We start from the raw sequence: 16570 nt of genomic DNA on the forward strand, positions 1-16570 counted from the left end.
GAGGTCTGCCTCAAAACAAACTGCATTTTAGACTGCATGAATTTCCCACACTTCCTTACTGCGCATATCTACTCACCAGGTTTCCAGCTGCCAAAATCCTATCCCACCTTTGATTCTGCACGTGCAAATGATGCTCATCTTTCCTGGCCCCTTTGTTCAAAAAATATATATCTCCCCTAACAACTTTTCTCAGCCTTTTCTAATGGCTCAACTAAATAATCTTGCCTTTCTCTGAATTCCCACCAAACATGATACTATCGCTTTTTATTCTCTAATATACCTAACTGCATGTCTTCTCTCTCCCTTTGGCTATAAACTACTTGAAGGCAGAGACTAAGCCTAATTTCTCTTTGCATTTTCCACAATGCCTCAGCTTCAGACAGGTACCTAAGGCATAGAAGTGTGAGTTGTTTTCAAGATCACAGAAAATCCAGTTTAAATGCAGGTCTTAGGTTTATTCACAGACTTAAGGCCATCAAGTTACTCATTTAAAAAAAAAAAAAGGAACTAGCAAGTCACACATTACACAGAAACTATAATATCCACCATTGTCTGTTGTTTTTTAAGACTGTGAAGCTGAAGCAGTTATTTCTGCTGCCAAACTTCCAGCAGTAACACTTAAAAGTTGCCAGTGTGGTATGATGCCATCAGTTTTCAAAACTTAGAAAGGCTCATTGATTTTTACTAAGGATTTCTTACACAATCACTTCCTTTAAGGCCAAATGAGCCAACCATGTTTGACAGAAGTTACAGAATGAATAAATGTTATGGTATCAACATAAAAATTATTTCGTTTCCTGTGCTTACTTCAATTTCCAAGTTTATTTCTAGCTCCCATTGCCACTAGTCATCACCATTAATGCGCAGCACAACATATTTTTATACATCCACCCACCCAACTCCCCTTTACTGAACCATTTTGGCACAATCATCATACCCAATTTCAGAGAAGGTAAATTAATATCCTAATGCAATAAAGTGGCTCTGCTAAAAGCAAGATAACTTGGATAGGACTTATTGCCCACTTCTCAAGTAAGACAAATGAATCTCACACTAGGGTGGTTATAATAGCAGTTTTATTACAAGACTGGCAGAGTGACAGTAACTATAAATCCTAACTGTTGTTAGATTTTTTACTTTACATAGTTGTAGTTATGAGTCTACTCTTGTAAGCCAGAACAATTATTTTACAATTAGTTTAGACATGTCTGAGCCCAGAAGGAAAATTTCTATTTCAATCATCTTATTTTCCTTGAAAAGAACCTAATGATACCAGAAATCAGATCAATTCAATCTTCATACCTGAGTTTCTAGCCATTTTTCAAAGTTGAAAAGCTTTATAAATGCAATTGCCCAGAATTTTAGGTATGCTTTCCAAGTGCAATACAAAATAGCAATAATGGATTTCCACGCACTAAACGAAAACAAACAAATAAACAAAAAATAAGCTTGCAACCTCATTCTCAAGGTAGAACATGGTCACCATCCTATAAAACATAATACACACCCCTAAATTTGGACTGCAAATCTATCACTTAAACATCTAGTAAATGACCCAATTTGTTTACATGGCCCTGTAGCTTTTTATGGCCTTTCCATAAAGAAGTTATTACATCCATTCCCTTTATTTTGTTTAAGAGTGTTTGAATGAGCCCCAGAACCACAGGCTAGTTAAACAAGCCTTCCTTAGATGGACGTGGTCTCATATAATTCACCACTACCGGGGAAATTTTCAGAACAATGTTTGTAGTTTTGAAACACCACACATTCCTACATACCAAAAGTATTTCCAGTGCTTTATGCAGTTTTAAATGTTCGGCAGATACATTAAATAAGTCCTATTTTTCCATTTTTCCAAGTAAACTTGTGGCATTTACACTTCTTCCAGAAGATTTGCACCTCTGAGTTTTTGCTACGGTAGGTTGGCCACTTAGAAATGACTGCAAACAAAGATTGCAAGGGAAATGTAAAATCCAGACACCCTAATTGATTTCCTAGGATGTAAATGTTAGTTCTAAAAGGAAACCATTTTAAAGCTGTTAGTTTAATGGGGTGCCCAACCGATGCCTATTCAAAGTTATCAGTACAGATTAAAGATAAATTTTTCACCGTGAAGCAAAAACTTCTTTAAAATAAGAATAGAGATGACTTAATCACTAATTTTTTCTTCGTTATCATGGCTTAAAACCTCAAGACTGCTAATATTCTCAAGAAAACACAGATTAAAAACCACTTTTTAAAGGGTTAGTATTTATCAATTAGGTATCTCGACTCAGCATCTCTCAGTAGCCTAGCCAGATTGTGACCTGGGAAATTGCCTGCTATTTTCAGATTGCTGCTTTTGAAATAGACAGTTTTGACCATAGTGACTAACACAATGCAAAGATACAGTTGAAGCCATTTGATATATATATAACTGTTATATATATATATATATATATAAAACTATAAATTTGGAATATCTCTACAACTATGCATTTTGTTACTGACTTTACTTTTATTTCTAAACAAAAGTACATTATTTCTGGAGCTCTACATGAAAATGTATTGCCTCTACAATACAAGAGACTAGACCTCATGGCATACTAGTGTTCTTATAACTTTAGATGCAGACATATATACACACACACGTGTGTGTGTGTATATCTATATATGTGTGTGTTCTTTTTCATTTATAGCTCCAGAAATAGTGAACTTTTGTTTAGAAATAAAAGTAAAGTCAATAATAAAATGCATAGTTGTAGAGATGTCACTGCCTATTGAAAACAAAGAATCCCCTGATGCCTTTTATTATCTACAAAATTAACGCATTTCCAGCAGAGATCTGTCTCTAGGACACCCCATCTCAGGCTATGGATGTACAGATCTATATTTTTCATACCAGCATTATCCAACTTTTTCCCTTGTTTTTAGTGTATTCACAAAACCACCAACTACTATAAGAAATTCATCTAAATTTTATCCATCCTTTTAATGGGTAATCCAAAGGCAAATCACACTCTAGTAAGAGAGAGTCTTTAGCATGCTTCCATAGAGCAATCTGAAAACACTAATCATTACTGTGTTTTTCCTATGTTCTTTACAATTTGCACCCTGCCTGACATAAGATCTCAGGTTTAAAGTACAGTAAATTAGAAACGAACACTGCAGGTTTCCCCCTTTTCCCAGACCCAGCAAGAAATTTCCAGTAGGAGAAATGAATACTTCTGTCTTCTAATTTGTTCACATCTTATATTTTAAGCAAATGTTTCTTCTTAGCACACTGATTTTAAATATCATCTGCTACCAAAGCAAAATAAATTATAAAGCTTTAATGACTCTCAATTTGCATTTCTAATCACCCTAGACTATGAATATATATGGCATTATGGGAAACAAGCTGTGATTTATTCCCCAGCAGAAAAAAAGATAAATAATTATGACTACTTAAAAGACAGATGTCCTTATAAATACGCAGCAAAATAACTGCCAGAAACAACAGGAGATAAGTACCACGTAAATTCAACTTCTGTTGTTAATGGTTTCTGATCTCTGTAGTGACTCAAAGGGCAGGTGCAACGGCCAACTGGGCATATTTAAGCACAGAAGTATATTTCTATCATGCAAACATTGAAATGCTTAAAATAGTATCCACTCATGAACAAGGATTTCCTAGAATGCAAATAGCAGAGCTTCAAAAAATGGCATGGCATCAAGATAGTACATCCACCAAAAGAATTCAGTCATTTCAAATCCTTAAATACCACAAAATCTTTCCAGCATTTATATACACGGGACCCGAATGAATGTCAGTGGAAAAATGATGCAGATACTCAATGAAGTGTAACCTCATAGCAATTAATTTTCCACAAACTTGAGATCTTAAAAGTGTTATAACTGTTTTCTTTGCCTGTGATGTAACAGCTTCATTACTTTAATTCAGTGTCCTGGAAGCTGCCTCCCTTTTATCCCAATTGCGGATCCTTCACCCAGCCTCATTCTGCACGCCATCCGTTTTGTGAATGAAGTGTGAAAATAGCTCTTTGTTTACATAAAGAAGGCAATATAGAGTAGTGTGGACACAGGCTCAGCTCAGGAGAGTGGAACTGAGGCTGCGCAGCCTGCCCTTCTAACCTGTTCACAACTTCCAAACATGCCTGATGACTGAAAAACATTCCAGCAACAAGTAGTTATCTGCACACACCAAAGCAGAAATCTGTCACTGCCTGCCTGCTGAGAAAGGAACTGAATAGAAAGGGTTTTGATGGAATCTTAGACATGAAGACTTTTCTTTTTGTTCTGTTTGTTAACTGTCAACCCTGCAGGAAGTACACACAGCATCAGGGCCTTTGAATGCATAGGTCTAGGACATCTTTCCACTTTTTCTAGCCTCTCCTCACTCTCAACATTCTCGATGCTTCTTGTCTCTCGCCCATGATATATGCCTCTTCATGCCTCTATTCTTTTCTTCAGGCTGTTCCCTCAGCCTAGGATCCTTCCCTCTTTTTCTCCCTCTCAGACCCGCTTCAAAACACATCACCTCCTCTGTGGGAACTTTTCTCCTTCAACTTCCCTTCCAGACAAAACCAACCACTTAGTAAATCAATAGAGGATTTTTGAAGTGAAATAAAGCACTGTGTTCCCATAGCACTTTGAGCACAAAACTAATAGACCATGAAGTAAAAGGAAGGATCTGCCATCCTCTGACCGAGTTTCTCAAAGGCAGGTCTGCATCTTCTTCTCTGCATATGCGGCACCTAGGGCAAAGCTTAGCAAAGAGCAGATGCTCATACATATTTGCTGAATGAAAACAATGTTCTAATAAAACATTAGACCATTTAACTTATGAAGGAAGAGGCACGTGGCTCTGAGTCCTGGCTTGGAGTCAGACCAAGGTCCAAACATCTACCAGCTGTGGGACCTTAGCTAAGCTACTTAGCCAGTGAAGCCCTGGTGTTTTTCCTAATACCTCACGGAGAGTTTATACACTGCATACTATCTGCAAACATTGAGGACACATGTGGCACCTAAGAGTCACTCCTGGAGAGTCATTATTAAGCAATGCAAAACTAGAAGCTTACTCAGAGCCCTTTAGACCCATCCAACTACCCTCTAAAATGCATCTAAATCCTGCTGCTCCCAGGTCCTTCCTGGCAGATCATGCTGGTTTATCAGCACATAGTGTATATAGTAGAAATGTAAATCCACATCCTTGCACTTACCATTAAAATGCCTTGTTCTGTTTGAGAATGTTGATTTCCTTTAAGGAATCAGACCTCTACTTTGCCTCTGCCCCACAAACCCCAGCAACAACCCAATACATACCTCAGTGGACTAAGAAACAACCCAACTACTAGTCTAAAGAAAAAAAGCCGGCTGGGCACAGTGGCTCACCTCTGTAATCCCAGCACATTGGGAGGCCGAGGTGGAAGGATCACTTGAGCCTAGGAGTTCAAGACCAGCCTGGGCAACATAGTAAGACCCCCATCTCTAAAAATAAATACAAATATTAGCAGGGAGTGGTGGCACACACCTGTAATCCCAGCTACTTGGAAGGCTGAAAAGGGAACATCACCTGAGCCTGGGGAAGTTAAGGCTGCAGTGAGCTGTGATCATACCACTGCACTCCAGCCTGGGTGACAGTGAAACCATGTCTCAAAAATAAAACAAAACAAAACAAATACAAAAGGGAAAAAGCTAAGTACAAAAAAAAAATCACAGTCTGAAAATAAAAGAGGAATTAAGTGGAATAGCAAGAGAGCAAATTTAGTGAAGCCAGCCTGGCAAAGATAGTCTGGTGTGGAAACAGGGCAAATAACCGTCCAGGGAGGAGCCTACTCAGTCACTAGGGGATGATAAAAAGTGGCTTGAAGGTGGCACATGAATTCTAACGAGAAATCTGATGACAAATAAAATTAACAAAACTAAATTTAAAATGCATTCCCATGAGGTAAAAGGCAAAATTAGCGAATGCTACCAAAAGTATCACTTATAACAACTTGGCTTTAATTATAAACGTAGTTATTATAGTTCCCCTTTATAATTTTTAGCTCCCTTTGTTTTCAGATTTGGGAACTTTGCAAACCAAAGTTTAAAAAGGTAAATTAATAATATTTTAGGCAAGCCATTCAAGTTTATAGCTATGAATTTATTTTCTGACGGTCTTGACCAAAAAAAAAAAAAAAAACTTGAACTTCTGAATAGAATATCCCATAGAATATAGTGTAAATAAAAGTTAAGGTCACTCACTGAATATATTTCAAAAATAATAGGTTATACTTTCTAGCGTTCACTAAACATGCTTATTTATTCATTTTTATGGTACTTTTATCATTGAGATGTACTGTTAAATGAAATGTTAAAATTATTACCAGAAAGTTTCCTTGTGGAACCAAGCATGCCAATGTCAGCCATATTATTCATCACCATCACTGAATAAGCCAAAATATTAAAATAAACATCCTTCATCTATATACTTGCTTAAAGTACAGTTCTAACATAATGGTAACCATTATAAAGGTAGTATTTCCAGTTATTTGCCAATTTGTCAGATGCCTACAGAAACAGAAGTTATCACTATATATATATATAGTGATATATATATAACAGTATATATATAGTGATACTATATATACTGTATATATAGTACATATATATACAGTATATATATAGTGATATATATATACCATTCCATTTGACTAATGTGATTATTATGAGATTGTTTCCCTTACTGTTCCCGTAAATATTTCCGAAGCAACAGATTCTTACCTCATCTCCCAATCTGAAAACCATGCAATCCACTAACATAATAAAGAAATGCTTTTATAAAAAGTATGTGAATTTTGAAACCAGGATTCCATTTTCCTAATTGGTTCTCACATAAGGAAAAATGTATCACCACATTAGCAGTTTAATAGTGGCTGTCTAGTGGCCTTGACAAAGTCAAGTCAACTTCTGCTCTCTAGGCCTCAATCTGCACATCAGTGAGGATAAGTTCCTGGGGTCTTTCCAACTCTAACATTCCTCATACCACACATGTTGCTGAGTTCTAGCCTGTGCAAGTTATCCTTGAGCCACAGGTAAAATATAGAAAGTACACAGATTTTGGAGGCTTGTCATCTATGCAACATTTTCAAGAGTCCTTGGTCTGCATCACATGACAGTCCCCATCTTCAGAAAATGTAAGGCTATGCACAGCAATGACACTTAAAAGAGTAACCAGTTCTAGGAAACCTATCCATTTGCCTGGTACCTGCTCACTTGGTAACATAATCTTTATCAAGAGTAAAACGTGGTACTCTGATTGGCACAACCATCACTACCAATACATGAACAAGCTATCTTCCTATTTAAGAAGTCAAGTAGTGTGCAAGCTCCAAGACCAAAAAGATATCTTAAAAGATGGCCTGTTGTTAGAGTTAACAGCATAGTCTTTCTTTAATAAGATACTAACTACCTCCAGAACCTTTCAACAGATACTCATCGGGCACACTCTGCCATACCTGTCTCAGGTGCTGGAGTTCCTACAGGAAGCGATTCAAACAAGGTCCACGCTCTCAACAACTTAGATTTTATGGTGGGGGTGAGGGATGTTGGTAGATAATAAATTAATTAATTAATAAACAAGAATATCAAGGAGTATTAAGTACTACATAATTAATTAATTAACCTTGACAAGACAGTGAGGGGTGGTTAATTTAGACTTAGTGGTCAGAAAAAAGACCTCTCTGAGGAAGTGAATCATTTAATCTAGATGAAGGGAAGGTGTTATCCATGCAAGAGCAGCTGGTTAGTGTTAGCCAGAGAGGCAGGGGCAAATGACTGGAAGTTGCAATTGTATGCTGAGTGTGCCATGTCCACCATCTCATCACTCCCCCAGCCATAACCCTTGAGGAGCTAAAGCCAAAAGAGCTGCAGGAAGGGAGCTTGAAAGAAGCCATACCCCTTCTTACTCCAGGTCCTTCAAGTCATGGGTCAGGCCTGAGCTGCCAAGCAGAGAGGAAAAAAGATAGAAATTTTAACCCCAATATGAACTAAAATTGTCCACAGCTAAAAGTGTCAAAATGCTTAACAATCAGTACGGCAGGAACACTGATCGATCAGGACAGAGGCCAGCAGGGTTGCAGAAGTATCTCAGAGGCCTTAAGCAGTACCAGGCATTGGAATTTCTGCTTCATCACGTGTTGGTCCATTTGTCTTAGAGGAGTTGCACTAGTCTCTTCCCAACTCATTGGAAATATTTCAACATTTCAACATTTTGGTAATCAGTATGGAACTAACACTGGTGCATACTAAATGATTATCAAATATTAGATGTCTCCTTAGGAGATTTAAAAAATGGGAGATTTGAAAAATAAAATCATAGTTGGAGGCAGTGGTGGTGAAAAATAATACAACATACAGATTGTTTACAACTGATCTTACCCAAAAGATCAAGAAGCAACAGAGATTGCTTAATAAATGAGTTATATAGAGATTACATAGAGTTACACAGAGTTATATATTCTGATTACGTATAATGCTTCCAAATTAGAAACATGAAAATCAGAGTAAGTAAATGAAGGGACTTTATGACTTCTACCATTTTGGTTGATACAAACAGAAACCTACGGGGAAAATATCATCAGTCTTGGAAACTTTTTTTTTTTACTATGAAATTTATGAATGTCTTAATTTGTTATTACTTATTCAACATATCACTTTATCATTAGAATTTTGTTTCCACAAAGGGTGCAAAAGTTTATAGATAAAACTTAGAACCTTATCAGTCTAAAGCTTGAAAAAAACATGAAGTGGAAGCTAATATACAGAAGATATTTAAGAAATAAGTTTCAGGAAGGGTGAAATACAAGTAGACAAAGCTAAGGCTTCCGTGCCTGAGACAGAACTAGAGGTCGTAGAAGAGATGGCAGCACTGAGGGAAGTTTAATGTCCAATCCCATCCTCTATTTACAACTATTTAACAAACGATATATTAGTCCCTGAGGCTTCCTACAAACCTCTGTACTTTCTAAACACCTTTCAGTGGTAAAAGCAAAGTATATCATCCATCCAATATCTATGATTAAAATTGATATGGAAGAAAAATTACCACATAATAGAGCTTTTTAATCACCTACTGTGAAAAGACAAAATTCATCATTACATAATGGCACTGTACTTGTTCAACTTCCTCAACTATTTCAAACAGCAGAGAACCAGGAGGAAGTTTTTTCTTTTTTTTTTTTTTTGTAAAAAAGCCTTTAAACAACAAAAATAAATGTCAAAAAGGTCACGCAATAAAACTTACAGGGAAACTTACAGGAAAGTCCCTTTAGTCTGCAGTTAGAGCCTATTTACTCTTGGACACTGTTCTAAATATTGTGGTTATCTGTTTTTGATAAAACAGAGATTTGAAGCTGCCACCTAAAAATGATGGCGAGGGGACTGGGCACCTTTTTTAATTTTCCATTTTTAATTTAAATTTTGTTAGATACAGGAGCATTGACAGTAGGAAGAGAAAGCTGGCACTGATAAAAAGAGATGGAAAATCCATAAACACAAGATACCGGCAAAAGGGCACGACCAGCAGACCAAAGTAAATTGCCCCACATGCCACAAAAGCCCTTGAGAAAAAGAACACATACAATAACTGATGTTAATAAGACCAACCGTAGCGAAGAGCGGCATATTCCAAATCAAAATTCAGAATGGCTAAAGAAAATGAGAAAAAAATGATACGCATGCTCTTAATCTATGAGTAAACTAAAAATCACTCACCAACAACACAGGTAGAAGAGGCATTCCTCCACCAACAACTTTGTCATTGACATCTCTTTGTGCTGTATGCAACAGACAAAGTAGGTTTTGTTTTGTTCCTGGGTGTATGATTCTTTCTGCTACAACTCAGAAGCACCGTCCCAGAACTTAATCATTCCACAATAGGCATTCTCATCTAAAACCAGTGTGCACAAAATATGAGTATTTTTCACCATGGTCATACAACAAGTATACAGGCCAGACACCCTCCAAGCAAGTCAATGTTATCTTTTAATCTCTTTCCTCAAGTTAAATCTGAAGACTCTTGTTTTCATAAGTGAGACAGGGTCAGAAGTAAGGTTAAAAATTAAGTATAGTATATGAAGTCAACTTATAATATTAGAGGATAAAACTTTGTACAGTAAAAGTGGCAAGAATTGCAATCCAATGGTAGGTCAAAAACCAGATACCTAACAATAGTGTAAATGACACTAACCCTTCAAAGCTAATTCTGAACCATGTCCACATGATCCAGTCTAAATCCATGTATGCAGCATTGGCTACAGCAATCAATTTCCAATTCTACCTCCTCTTGAAATACCAAGTTAATATTAAAACTGAGCAGCCCGAGGTACCTGATTGAGTAATCACCATTAGGGACTTTAGAATACTCAAGAAAAGAGAGTATCATGAGGAGGGGTCCTTGGAGACAAGAATGAGCTGCTACAGTCATAATATATCAATTTGGACATTTCAGAGTTAGAGAAGACCTGTCACAAAACGATGCAATGCACAAACTGGGCCAATGGGATCTTCTACGTGGTATCCTCAAGGAGGGTTCGTATTTACAGGACTGTACAACTGTCAAAATTGAGACAGCAACAGGGCAATCAAAATTCAATCATAATTCAGTATGTGGGCAAAAGATTACCCACATAATGGAAAATTTGAAAGACAAAAAGAAGAAGAAGTAGAAGTAGTAGTAGTAACGGTAATGGTAGTAGCTCTAACAAATCTGGTTACATTCCAGGGGAATCTTCTTCAGCACCCACCTGTTACCCTCAAATCTTGAAACATTTACGTATAAAAATCAACCTGAGCATGTGCAAGAAAATAGCTCTATATTGCCCCCTAGTGCTGGCCAGTGCCACTTCTCCTTGGGCTAAAAACTACAAGTAGTTCCTCTACTTCTAGTTACTTCCTGCTGCCATCCTTAACATAGACCAACCCCCAAACATAGCCTAATCCTCTACCCACAGATTAGGAAACAAGCAGCAATTTTTAGCATCATGCATCTTAGGAATGGAAATGGCCCAGCCTCAGATGGCAACAGAATGTGTGTGGCCTGGCTTAATGAACTCATCTCTCCTGGAGGTGTGAATCTACTTGGGTAAAGTGGCCTATGACCACATGCTGCATGACAGCTCTGGGACCCTTACAAAGTGATGATAGCATGGGGATCACAAGAGAGAACTAAAAGGAAAGGACAAAGAGAAGCACAGGTCAGCAAAGAGATTCGGGCAGATGCCAAGAGAGGCTTGATAAGACAAGGCAATAGGAGAAATGATATGGGACAGGAACAATAAAAAACAGAAGCCAGGAAGCCAGGAATATTGTGCATTGTTGTCATTATGGAGGAGCTTGGCTAGTAAGAAGCAATATTTTGAACTGGACATTTATTTTACATGAGAAAGAACAAAGGTTGGTCTGATGTGTTTCCTGCACGGGTACAGCTGGTGCTGTGGCTCCTTTGATCACTTTCCCCCAGACCTCTGCAGCTACTGTGATTAGAGATACATCCCTAGGCTGCCCTTTGATCAGCAGCTCAAGGAGCCTGCAGGTGCCATGTGGCATCACATTAGCAAGTTGTAAGAAGCACCACACTAATATTAGCTGATAAATGTGATACTATGTCTTGCTGCGCAACAGCAAATACAAATAACGTTTGCAAAAGTCGGCAGAATCCTTATTTTATCTACTTTTATACCCTAAAACTTTCTGTGCTTTCTTAAACATGAACACTTCATAGAGTTTAAATTCAAAGTTGAAGTCTTGAAACACCCCAATATGAAAAGGAAAAAAAATCACTCTGACTTAAAACTATAGCACATCCTATCTTAATTTTGTAGGTATGCCACTTGTGTTCATTTTGCATGGTTAATCAAGTGACAGAATCCTTGCATTCTGAATAGATGATATACAAAGCAGTAAAAACATGTATATTCCTTTTCAAATTACAGTAAGAGCCACCATTTGTAAACAGGGCGTTAAATATTCCAATTTTAGACAGCCTAACATGAACATTGTGGTTTCATGTGCAGTATAAAATTTCTATTTACAAAGTATTCTCAAAAATGACTTCATAATGGTAGATGAAGAGAAAAAGAGTTTAGAAATTGAATGATGTAAATCATATGGGTTCAGAGGCTAAGCAAATTACACACCCTGAAGCTGCCCTGGCTTTATGAAAGGAGCCTTTCTCCAGCTCTGTGCAATCCCAGCCCAAGGGAACTTGCATCTGAGAGTTTTCTAAACATTTCAGGTACACTTGAAAGCTGAAAGTAATTCTCATTTCCTATGCAGGATTAAGTCGTTTCCAGCACACACAAAATAGCAGTCATTCACCAACACATACAAAAACACACCACCAGAAAGGTAAGGACTTCAGAGTACAAAGGCAAGTTTAAAAAACAAAAACTAGGGAGCAAGAGAAATACACTTTTTAATTCCTCTAAAAACGACCACACAGCCTCTTGACCTCTATATTTCCTATCTACTCATTGATTAATTGATGACTTCGACCTAGAGTGCTTCAATTAATGCGGCTGATATATTTCCTGACCGACCCCCCTCGCCCTCCCCAAATCTGAGTAAAGTCAAACATGCCAAGGCTCATTCATTTTGGATTCGTTTTTAGAGGCAGTTCTTGAACTTCTAACTTTAGCAATGAGCGAACCTGCAATGTGCATTTGAAATGACGTTCACAATCGCTCCCAGAATGTCCTCACTCAGCAGTGGCACTCACGTTGCCCTCTTGGAGCTTTGTGGCAGCTCCCGAAGTTGCAAACTACACTTAACCTTTAACAGTCCATGCCAATGAACGCAGCGCACATTTGCATGTAATGAGAGACCAAAGATACCTTCACAGTCTGGTATATATCACATACCAACGCACAATGCCAACGTTAACACACACAGCGAGAAACAAGCAGGGGGAGAATGGGGGAAAGACTCACCGTTCTGTTCCTTGTTGCTGGAAAACTGGAATTTACTACTCAGGTTGGATTCCGCCTGAGTCCCCTGTCTCTGGCCGGCCAGGGCAGATGTCAGCAGGAGAAGCCCGAAGAGGCTCATTTGGCTGACTGGGGTGAGAGCTCACTCACGGCGGGCACTTTGGAAGCAGCGACTCCCGAGTCTCTTTCACCACCGCCAGGGGAAGGCTGCACTGGGGTGGAAGCGCCGAGCCTGCTCTGGCAGCAGAGAATCGCAGGGTAGTTTCCACATAATCCCATCCAAAACTTTTTCCTAGAGCCCTCTTCTGTGTCTCCAGTTTTTGAAAAGGATCAAAGCAAAACCTGGACCTGAACCAGTTTCCCAAGGTTTAAACAAATCCTGAGCTGTGGCGAAGTGGTGGGGGTGGGGGTGAAGGCGAGGGAGGAATGAGGGGGTGGGGACGCGGGGGAGCGGCGAGAAGTCCCCAGCAAGTTGCTGGGAGCACCTGTCAGTTCGGGGGACAGGACAGAGGCGAAAACTCAAGGGTTGCCCGCAGCCAGACTGGAAGCCAAGTCGGCGGCGAGCAGTTTCTGATCAATAACAAAGCTGCCAATAGATGCGGCTCTCCGGGCGCCCCTCTCCCCCGCCCCACCCCCCACCCCCGAAGGGGGAGGGGGAAGAAACAAGGCGAGGGCGCCGCGGCGGGTCCCACGGGCCGGGGCGCCGGAGCGGGGCCGGGGGGCTCCGGGCCGACGGCGGCCCGGGCGCAGGCGGAGAGAGGCCGCGGGGCTCCCGCTCCTCAGCCCGGAGCGCAGTTGGCCCCGGGTTCGGAGCGCCGCAGCACGGATTCCGGCACCTGGCTTGAGTTTTCCGCGACCAAAGTTCACCTTGTTCGGGCTCGTCCCCCGCTCCTCAAAGCCTGGGGCAATTCGGCCGCTCGGGGTCACCGCGGGGCTCCGGTTGTTCCCCGTCCCCTCCCCCCACGCCTCGGGCTCCGCGCTAACCTCGGGGCTACGCGCGGCGTCTCCGCACGGGGTGAAGAGGGAAGGCCGGGGCGGCCGGGAGGATCCGGCTTGTCCCCTCCCCTTCTCTACCTTCCCCCCGCCGGGCGGCAGACAGGAGGTGGGGGCCGTGGGCCGAGCCCGGGCGGAGCGCGCGCCTGGCGAGCGGGGGCGGCTCAGCGGCTCTCCCGCAGGCGGCCGATGGGGCGGGCGGGGGTCAGCGCCTCTGGGAGGGGCAGCCCTGGGACGCGTCCGCGCGAGCGGGCTTGGCCGCCCACTGGCTGTCAACAGGTGCTGCGCAGACAGGGGGTGCTGCGGGACTCGCTGTGGGCAAGACCCCGGTGGCCCAGGAGAGGAACGCGGCCAAGGCGGCCCCTGCTTTCCCTTCCACGGAACACCTCTAACCCCAAATACAGAGCACGATGGGTGGTGAAGGGTGCTGCAGAAGTAAGTGGGAAAGAACTTCCTGCAGCTCTCCTTCTCCCGCCCCCTGTCGCCTGACTTGTCATTAGTTTCCAGGAGGGCTCCCCACTCCCTAAGGTCTTTGCTAGGACCCTTGGCCAGAGTTTCAGAACAGAAGGAAGAAGGGAAATGAATTCAAAGGCTTTCCTCCAATTTCCAGCTCCGTAAAGCAGGACAAATAAAGCAAAAGTAAAGGCAGCCAAAATAACATCCATTTAACAAGTACTATATTTACTGAATGCCTACTATGTCGGGCACTGTTTAGAGGTTGGAGCCGTAGCAGTGAAAACAGACAAAAGTCCCTGCCCTCGTGAAGCATACGTAGTAGTTGGGCAGCATTAAGCTAATAGCAAGCTCTTCTGAGAATGGTGTCTAAGGGACTCAGAATGATCCTGCAACCTTGGACTTTCCTACAATACAGCCTCTAACAAAACTAGGCTGCCCTGAACCCCTGGTGATAGAATTGTTTACATTTACACCAAAAAGGTCGAGAAAGAACTGAAATCTCTTGTGGCTTGTGTTCAGGCTGACTTGGAGAGAGAGGCCGATGCTTTAAGACCTAAAGTTCTCATGAGGTAGTCTGAAATGAAACACACATGCCAAGCAGGGCTTATGGTGGTTCCATGTCTGCTAAATATGTCTGTGACAGGATCCAACGTGCTTTCTTTGTGGAGAAGCAGAAAATCATTGTCAATGTGTTAAAGGCACAAGCAGAGAGTCAGAAAAGTTGAATTTTAAAATGAAGCTATTTTTGAGTAATAATCAAAATGAAAACAAGGAAGTGCCATGGCAGGCAAATCAGCAATATCACCCAACTTCTTGTGGAAAAAAAGTCAATGCAAACAATTCGACCATCAAGAACACTTGGGCTGGAACAGAAAACCAAAATAGCAATGTCCCTGAAACTAAGGAGTGGCATTTGGGCAAGAACATATTCTTACTGGACCAAACCAGGGGCTGATCCTTCTTCAGTGGTGAGGAAAATGCCAAGCCCTCTTCTTATATGCGAACACCAACTGGGGCCAACCAACCAGACCTTTCTGCTTGGAATATCCTAGTCTTCTTGTTTTTCCCTTTTAGAAACCTTTGAAAACTTCACCCATCTGTCTCATTCTTGAAAATTTCACCCGCCTGTCTCATTCATTCATTCTTATCCCTTTACCACTTCTATCTACAGAGTACTAAATATACACTAAAGGCAAATAAGGCCTGATCTTTGACTTTAAGGCATTTACAGTTTAGTGGACAGAAGGTTTTTTATCAAGTATGGTATTTTATTCGAGTTAGCAGCTCCACAACACCAGTGTGACTCCATATTTGCATAATGTGTTCCAAAAATATTTTGTAAATTTGTGAGGGTGAAGGGTTATTCCCAATTTTAATAACATAATGGGACTTAAATAAAGGGCATGCCTTATGAATCCATTGTAATCTATTTTTCATAAAATTCATTATTCTCCAGTTTTTCTAATTTTGTAAGTTTAGTTTTCTAATCAGCACTTTTCTAAATGAAATTGTTATATGTCCATATAGTTGAGTTTCCTGACCACCCACATAGAGGTGGGGTGTGTGTGTGTGTGTGTGTGTGTGTGTGTGTGTGTGTGTCTGCAAATGTAATCCATTTGCTCTCAGGAGATTGGAAGGGTGATGACTACTCTTTATTTTGTATCATTTCATATTGGCTAGAATATTGCTTGGCACAGGGGGATAATAAATAAACACTCTTGACTGACTGACAGGTTTCTTTATTGGAGTCACTTACATTCTCCCTGGAATTTCAGTGCGATAGTTGTATTTGAAAAGTTACAGATGATCTAGAATAATACTCTACCTCTGCGTTTCACCTCATCCATATTCTACAGATTGATTTGACAATCGCCTTATAAATAAAGTCAGCCAGGTGTTCCTGAATGACCCCTAGACAAAATCACATCCACATTGGCCAATTTCCTTTCAATGTACTTGCATTGTCATTTCTTGAACTGCTCTTGCCCTTGACGTAGTTGATTCTTTTAACACATTATCCTCTGCCTGTCTTCCTGCTCTATTTTGCTTGTTAACCTTTTCTAGAAAAATGAAATCTTTGCATTGAAAGTAAATTTTATATAATCCAGAGTCTGTGCAATTACTAAACAATATATTTTAAATGAATATGGCTTTGTTTTGGCCAAAGGCAT

The 16570-nt window shown here is 40.4% G+C and overlaps 1 protein-coding gene across 6 annotated transcripts in view, besides 1 other annotated feature; it reads right to left on the reverse strand.

Moving 5' to 3' along the window:
* Window positions 1-13967, reverse strand: part of PDGFC (platelet derived growth factor C) — a 211346-nt gene extending 197379 nt beyond the window's left edge. For 2 of the 6 annotated variants that reach the window (XM_047415972.1, XM_047415969.1), the window contains exons 1-2: window positions 12674-12766; window positions 9739-9913 (exon numbers count right to left, since the gene is read on the reverse strand). Coding sequence is in view for 3 of the 6 variants with exons in the window: in XM_047415969.1 (XP_047271925.1) it covers window positions 9739-9762 (24 nt within the window). In the remaining 3 variants the exon portion in view is untranslated. Of the gene's footprint in view, window positions 1-9738; window positions 9914-12673; window positions 12767-12953 lie in introns of those variants that run through there. The other 4 variants (NR_036641.2, NM_016205.3, XM_017008455.2 and 1 more) reach the window with 2 other exon arrangements.
* Window positions 13754-14254: an enhancer, noted in NCBI's record as "H3K4me1 hESC enhancer chr4:157892738-157893238 (GRCh37/hg19 assembly coordinates)". NCBI's record gives its function as "activates a minimal SCP1, AML or CMV promoter by ChIP-STARR-seq in primed H9 embryonic stem cells {active_cell/tissue: H9 hESC(primed)}" and the evidence as "EXISTENCE:reporter gene assay evidence [ECO:0000049][PMID:30033119]".

This window comes from Homo sapiens, chromosome 4 (assembly GCF_000001405.40).
Source record: "Homo sapiens chromosome 4, GRCh38.p14 Primary Assembly".
Classification (NCBI taxonomy): domain Eukaryota; kingdom Metazoa; phylum Chordata; class Mammalia; order Primates; family Hominidae; genus Homo; species Homo sapiens.